The sequence below is a fragment of the Homo sapiens genome, chromosome 6 (assembly GCF_000001405.40).
Source record: "Homo sapiens chromosome 6, GRCh38.p14 Primary Assembly".
Lineage (NCBI taxonomy): Eukaryota > Metazoa > Chordata > Mammalia > Primates > Hominidae > Homo > Homo sapiens.
In genome coordinates, this window is record NC_000006.12 from 14323173 (window position 1) to 14331452 (window position 8280).

The 8280-nt window shown below is 42.6% G+C and overlaps 1 annotated feature.

The window, feature by feature from the left end:
• Positions 7058-7559: an enhancer, noted in NCBI's record as "H3K4me1 hESC enhancer chr6:14330461-14330962 (GRCh37/hg19 assembly coordinates)". NCBI's record gives its function as "activates a minimal SCP1, AML or CMV promoter by ChIP-STARR-seq in naive H9 embryonic stem cells {active_cell/tissue: H9 hESC(naive)}" and the evidence as "EXISTENCE:reporter gene assay evidence [ECO:0000049][PMID:30033119]".

An 8280-nucleotide genomic window follows, 5' to 3' on the forward strand; every position in this document is an offset into this window, starting at 1 on the left:
CCTGAACTGACCAAGAACACATTCAGTCACCTGTACAGATGGAGGCTGAGAATAGAAATTGAGTTCAAGGAAACTAAAGAAAGCTACATTTCTCATCCACATGCATTTATGGAATGAGTTTGCCACTGCCATAGGTAGTAACTATTAACACGATCTTGTGAAAATTTCTGAACTATATACACGATGCTTCTGATGACAGGTGTTAGCTTGGCCTGTTTTAGCTCAGCATAAGTACTGCTTTGTTGAAATTTTCTCTTTCTTACATAAAGAATGAATTAGACTCTGATACACTGTGCCAGGACTGAATCGACTGACGGAGGGATAGATTACGCAAGTAAAACCCAGGCCCCTAAGGAAGAGAATATACTTTACGGACTTCACTTTGATTCTGTGTCAGCGGTTTTGACATCATAACCCATGTGCCCAACACATAGAACCACAGGGGCACGCGCGCACACACACACACACACACACACACACGGACACTGTCTTCTGAGGCTTTTATTTCTTTTTCTTTCTTTTTTCTTCATGCTACAGTGAACTGGGAGAACAAAAAAAAAGCTAAAGAAATACATGCCCGCTTAGAGGCGTGTGTGCGAGTATGTGTGTGTGTGTGTGTGTGTGTGTGTGTGTGTGTGTGTGTGCGCGCACCGTGCCTTTTTCACCCAGGGTCTCCGAGCTGCAGTTTCCCTCTTGGAGCTTTTCTTGTCTATTTCAAAGCCCCTTCACAAGTTTAACACTGACAGGGAGAACAATGAAAAGTGAGCCGCAGCTTAGAAATGAACAGAAAGAAGTGACTGACTTTGGGCTACTCTGCTGGGGTAAATGGACTATAAAATGTAATTTTAGATTAAATAGGTGTTTTATGTACAACACGATATTGATTTTGTTTCTGCAGGCAGAGGCTGAAGAATTGTGTGCCGCCCATTTATGTGTATAACTGTGTGTGTGTGTGTGTCAGAGAACCTGGGCAGATTATGAGGGTGAGTTTTAATTTAACTTAACTGTACAGAAAGAGCTTGATGACTAATATCTTTGGCTTTCAATTCTTCTTAGTATTGAAATAATGCCTATTCTTCCTTCACCCTAACCTGTATGCTTTTATAGCCTTTGTCAACTCTTTTTAAAAAGTCCCCGCTCTCTCCCCAGCACTGGTGACTGTGACATCACCCATCAGCTCTATACTCCGCTGTTCCAGCCTCACACTTTCATCTTTGTCCTTAACGGAGTGGCGAGAAAGGCCACACTAATCTTCAGAAGCAGGAACATACGGGTGCTCTTCCATCATTTTACCGCTAATATCACTTCCACCTCTCCAGAAAAAAAAATAATAATAATAAGATGTAAAAGGTCACGTGGGATTCTTCCTCCAAATCACTGTTTGAAGGTCACCTTCAGTGATATATTGAAGAGATGTGGGAACACCCACATCCTCAAGGTGGAAGGGTCAGCAGGGCCGTAGGCACAACTGAGATAAGGGATGTTTGCCTTCACCTTCCTCCATGTGTATACTTCCTTAATCCTTGTAGCAAGTCCTGCGTGGTCCCCAAACTCAGGGCCTAATATTTTCTAGAATGTTCCATGGAGCAGAAAAAATGATCTGATCAACTCATTTACATGAATAACTTCATGCATTTCAAGTTAAGGAAAAAACCCTGAAAGATATTTTGTAGTTGTTGGCAAGGATGAGGAGAATAGGCATTCTCTTTTATACTACTTTGTAGGGGAGAATTTGGTCTACAAAAGTCTTAAAAATTAGTCCACCCATTGATTCAGTAATTCGCTTTCTAGGACCTTATCTTAAGGGAATAATTGGAAATGTGTACTAAAATGTATGCACTTGAATGTTCACTGTAGTATAATTTATAATGGCCACAAACTGAAAATAACCTATTGTGTCTGTTCTTCTTCATATAAGAACGCAAGTCATTGGATTTAGGGCCCACCTTAAACTCAGAACAATTTCATCTCAAGATCCTTAACTAATTACGTCTGTTAATACTCTCTTTCAAATAAGGCCACAGTCTGAGGTTCCAGGGGGACATGAATTCTGGGGAGGCAACACTCAACCCAACACAGGACTGAAACTGGAAAATGAAAAATTATAGGGAGTCCAAGGAATTTCTTTCCTTCCGTCTCTTGTCCCTGCTTCTCTCTAAAAATCTTCTCCAATTATCCGTATCTTAGCCAACTGTTCTGCTTCTTCTTTATCATGGGAGGATATGGCTGTTCCACACCTCCCCAAAATGGTTTATAACTCCACAAGAAACTGGGAGTCTCTAGGCTCCAAATTTCATTTCCTAGGAAGGATAATCTTCTTTGCTGAGCTTAGTTTATGGGTTCATTCCAGGCCAATATATTTTGACCAGAAGAATCGAGCCACAGTGTTATCATATCTTTGGAGCAAAGGCTATTAATTCTCTGGTTAGCTTGTGAGCTAAGTGGACACCCAAAGAATATCTTATACACAGAGAATGGGTTAAATTATGGCACAGTCATACCATCAGAAATTACTTTGCAGGCTGGGTGTGGTGACTCACACCTGTAATCCCAGCACTTTGGGAGGCCATGGCAGGTGGATCATGAGGTTAAGAGATGGAGACCATCCTGGCCAACATGGTGAAACCCCGTTTCTACTAAAAATACAAAACTTAGTTGGGCGTGGTGGCACACACCTGTAGTCCCAGCTACTAGGAAGGCTGAGGCGGGAGAATCGCTTGAACCCAGGAGGCAGAGGTTGCAGTGAGCGGAGATTGCACCACTGCACTCCAGCCTGGCGACAGAGTGAGACTCCATCTCAAAAAAAAAATTGTTTTGCAGAAGAAATGCAAATGTCAAGGTAACATACTGATAATTAAGTGAGACAAGCAAGTTATAAGACAATATATGTATATTATTCCCATGTGTCTAATATGCACACATACATACACATACACACACACACACACACACACACACACACAGAGTTAAGGATAGAAGAATGTACACTAGAAAATTTACAGTACTATCACTAGATGATAGATTATGCATAGGCTTTAATTTTTTTGTTTTTTTCCACCAATTTACTTTTAAATCCCATTTAAAATTCTTTTAAATAGATTTGATAAAGGATTTCTAACACAAAATAGTGACTTACCAATAGTGAAATTTAAGACATAAATTAAGTAAATTTGGAGGTAATACCATAGGGGATATTTATGGGGTTATTTGCCTAATGCACAAAGATTTCTCTTTCCCTGAATTTCAATGACACCATCTCCTGTAAACTCTGGATCCAAAGGGGTAGGCATATTCTACCATGTGGACCAGGGATGCAGGGAAACTCAATCTGCAGAGAAGAGAAATGATAATAAAACTGATGTCACAAGAGGTACAAAGACAAAACCACAGAGGGTCTGGACAACTCTTCAGATACGATTTAATCCCTTCCCAGATCTCTTGATATTTCTGCTCCTGGGTTCATTCCAACACTTCTTTATGTTGATAATAAATGTCTTTTTGTGTTTACATGAGCTTGATTTGATTTCTCTTTCTTGAAACCAAAGAGTTTTGACCAATACGAGACCCTTCACAGTTTCTGCAAAGCAAAACTTGCAGGTGAGCACAGAGAGGTATTTCCAGTTCTAAGGAGAGTTCAGTAAGCGAAATCCTCTGATATGAGGACCAACCTTCTGGAGACTGCTATGCCCCTGAGTGCATAAGGCACAAGCCAATGAATAAAGAAAAGTCATAAAAGTAAGCTGATGATGAGAAGGAAGAGGTGAGCAAGAGGCAGATGAAAGAGGAAGTCAGTAGAGGGGAAAGGAAGCCTAGAGGATGAGAGGGCCCTAGAATCTAGAATGTCAGTAGAAATTCCTTCAAAAGGCTCTCCTGACCCTGGGTCATATTTCATTCAGATTAGCTCACTGTTCACCTTGCCTTTTATGAAGGTCAAATTAGTTCCAAAATTAGAGAAGCCTTTACCGACTTGACCTTCATGGCCATTAGGTTGGCCAGCATACCCTCCAGTTCCTGGTTTCTGATTTCCATTAGGTACAGCAACCTTTTGAAGGTCCAAATACTGGGTTTCTGGAGGAGATGTTATCTCCTAATTCCACTTAGTATGGACAGCTGCAGGCTGGGCACGTGGGCTCAGTTTCCTTCACTGACCACAATCCAAACCAACATCTCACTTGTCTCACAACATCTCAACAGCTCCCAAGTTCCATTTCCCAGTTATCTCTAAGGAAACTGTATCCCAGGACTCTTCAAAAGTCAGGCAACGCTTCTGTACGGCCTTCCAGATCCCAATGTTTTACCGTCACTGTTTAAAAATCAATACCACATTAACAGATTATTATCTATTGAATAAAATCAGAATCTGTGGGTCCACATTGATATAAATAAAAATAAAAAATAAGAGAAAAGGAAGTGGAATGCCAACTAATAAGTGTCACAGGAATAATAAAATTAGGAAATTATCATTTGACAAATATCACGGTTATAGTGGATTGAGGGAAGAATTATCAGTGGGTGCTAAAATTGGTGAGCGAAAGTTTGATGACAAACAGGATGTTGACCTAGTTGTGAAGTATCTTGCAACAAGATTATTATTAATTACGAAGACCCAGTTGTAACTTTATAGTGGAGAAACCCGACAGGCTGAGCTTTAACCAAATGATCAAAGTTAACCTCATCACTTACCCAGCAAATAGGTGTCCTGTGCCTCCTGACCCAGCGCATGAGGGAGTCACATCTTGTGCGGTGGCCTCTCTGCCCAAAGCACATTATCTTAATCTAATCACAGGGAAAACAGCAAACAAATCCAAATTGAGGGACATTCTACAAAAATTTCAAGTTCATGAGAGACAAAGACTATAAAATACTCCAGAACTATTCTAGTTTAGAGGAGACTAGAAAGTCAAAACAATTAAATGTAACACACAATCCTGGACTGAATCCTGAGCCAGAAAAAAAAGTATTTTATTTTGCTATAAAGTATATGATTAGGAGAATTTAAAACTTTGAACGAAGTCTATGAATTACATGATATTAACTGAAGAATTTAGGAGTAAAAGGACATAATGCCCGTGTATTAGTCCATTTTCATGCTGCTGATAAAGGCATACCCGACGTTGGGTAATTTATGAAGAAAAGAGGTTTAATTGGATCACAGTTCCACATGGCTGGGGAGGTTTCACAATCATGACGAAAGGCAAGGAGGAGCAAGTCACATTCTCCATGGCGGCAGGGAAGAGAGAACTTACGCAGGGGAACTCCTTTTTATAAAACCATCGGATCTCATGAGACTCATTCACTATCATGAGGACAGCATGGAAAAGACCCACCCCCATGATTCAATCATCTCCCACTTTGTCCCTCCCATGACGCATGGGAATTGTGGGAGCTACAATTCAGGATGAGATTTGGGTGGAGACAGAGCCAAACCATATCAGCCTGCAACTTAATCAACAGTTCAGAAAAGAAAATTACATACTGCTTCTCGGCCTTTTGGCTAAGATCAAGTGCAGAAAAGAAAATTATATCTCTTAGTTGTATTATTAAAATTATATATATATGTATGCACACACACACAGAGAGTACGGCAAAGAAAATGTGGTAAAGGCAAAATACTAACATTTGGGGATGTGGGGTAAAGTTATTTTGGAAATATTTTGTTCTGTTGCAACTTTTTTCTAAGTCTGGAATTATTTCAAAATAATAAATAAATAAATACCACTCATTTTTCTTAGCATCAAGCAGCAGTAGCTTATTTTTCCAATAGTTGATAAACTGTCATTTTCTCCCTGCAGAGTTTTGACTTCAGCTTCTTCATGGGAGGTTCCTTCCCCAAGTCCCCTTCTTCTCTTCCAGCTGCTTGGTGTTTGTCACCGCTGGCCTTGTCTCGGGTTGTCAATGGGCCCAGGGGCCTTGCTGCTCTGTCTATGTAGACAGTCACCTGGGACGTAGCCATGGCTGGTGTGCATGGGGCTAGGCGCATCTGCGGGAAGCTGCGGGGTGGCTCAGGAAGCCAGGCTGTCTCCTTGCATCTTCCCAGCACTTTGGTGACAAGGAGCTGCCCTGAACTGGTGGGCACAAAAAGCACTCCCTACCAGTAAGGAGCTGAGTGTGACACTGAGGGAAGGAGAGGTGATGGAGGTGAGGGGACATCTCTGCTTTCGCTCTCCTCTCCAGGAACAGCGTGCTGACCTTCAGAACTTTTTAGGGTTTTTCTCCCTAATGATTGCTATCAGGTATGTCTTCGCCAGGGTTCCCTAGCCCTTCTGAAGAATTAATCCTTCCCTGCTAGAATACTACCCCTTCACACACACACACGTGTACCTGCACACACACACCACACACATATGCACACATACTAACGGAGACCATCTCCTTACACAAGATTTCCCTGGGCCTGTCTTGGTCTTACATTACTCAGTACTCAGAAACTGAACATCAACAGTTAAGTGTGACATCTGGGTACAATCGCCAGTCAGGAACACTCAGCAGGGCTCCAGGTGCAAGCAGGGCAACGCTGGCTTTCCAGGACATTATAAATGCCCAGTATAAGATATCTGTGTCTGGTTCTGTCAGACACATCATAAAACCTCGGAACTTCCATGCTGATGGTAAATGTCCCTAACAGCTAGTTGCCTTTCCGTAGGGGTTTCAATAGGGCATTCATTGAAGGTAGGAAAAAATATATTATTGATGTCCCTGAAGGGAAATAAATGCTTCAGATGTGATGCCAGACTGTGTGGTCATCACGTTGCGGCACACAGTTTAACTGGGGCAGTGTTGCAGAATGGTCAGGAGCCAGCTCTCAGATACTCAGGGATTGGAGTTCAGAGGGGACCTCAACGAAGTCACTGGCTGGAATGAGGATTGGCTTGAGATGGAATTGGCAGGGTGGTAGAGAGATGGTCACGTCTGGGAGCGCGCTCAGTCATGAGATGGAGCCTGCTGGTTGATGGGGACTTGGTCGTCTATAGTGCAGCAAGGAGGGGCTTGGAGACGCAATGCTGCCATTCTGGGTGGAGGTGGGAGGAAGATGCTAGGGGACCAGAGATCTCACAGGTCATTTGTGAGGGTGGTTGTTTTATAGGGACCTTTGAAGAAAATGCATTTTCTTCACTGAGCTCGCCTAGAACCGTGAGTGAGTGATGAATTAGCATGGTCCTCTGCCTGGAAGATGGCTGGGAACTGGGACAAACAACCGCCTCATTGGAAACCAACTACGGTAGACGTGGATGAAGAAATGCTGTGCTTGGCAGCTGGGAAAGAATTTGGTTTCTTCTGAAGACCAACAGGGAGAAACTGACTACTGATTAAAGCTGCGTGACGTACTGCAATTGCGTTCTCAGGAGGTTGTCCAAATCTTTTCCTAATTTAGGTTTGCATGGGTTTCCCTCCTAGTCATTCATTACATAAAAGCAGTTTGTTTCAAAGACAGACTCGGCAGGCCGGGCACAGTGGCTCACGCCTGTAATCCCAGCACTTTGGGAGGCCGAGGCGGGCGAATCACAAGGTCAGGAGATCGAGACCAGCCTGGCCAACACAGTGAAACCCCGTCTCTACTAAAAATACAAAAAATTAGCCGGGCGTGGTGGCGGGCGCCTGCCAGCTACTCAGAAGGCTGAGGCAGGAGAATTGCTTGAATCTGGAAACCGGAGGTTGCAATGAGCCGAGATCACGCCACTGCACTGCAGCCTGGGGAACAGTGCAAGACTCCTCTCAAAAAAAAAAAAAGAAAAGACAGACTCAGCAAAACTGCTGGGGTCTGCACCTTTGCCCCTGAACATCATAAAATCCCATCTTGGTGCCAAAAGTGGATGATGCTTTCAGAGGCTTAGATGAAGTTTCATTTTGAAACCTCGTTTTGAAATGCCTGGGAATGATAAGCCAGCTCAGGGCAAAGTTGGGAAATACCAATGCCGCTAGCAACTAAGCCAGATTTTGTTCACAAAAGTTTAGGCCCAGAGGTCTTCCTGGTGAGCAACTTATCCCTGAAGAGAGATCAAGCATTCGCCCAAACTGCAAAATCTCAAAACAGCAGGATACGAAGTGAATTCTGTAACTTAAGAATAATGTTTCAAAATGTTTGAGTAATTTGTCATGTATTTTTCTCATCTCACCCTCAGGATAATCTTAACAAACCTTTGCTGTCTTTCAACAAATATTTCTGAGTGCCTTGTAGAATTTGTAACTAAGCAAGGTACTTGGGACATCGTGGGAGAAGAGACAGGTGTGGTCTCTGGCCTCACAAATTTAGCTTGTGCTGGAAGAAGACACTAATTATAG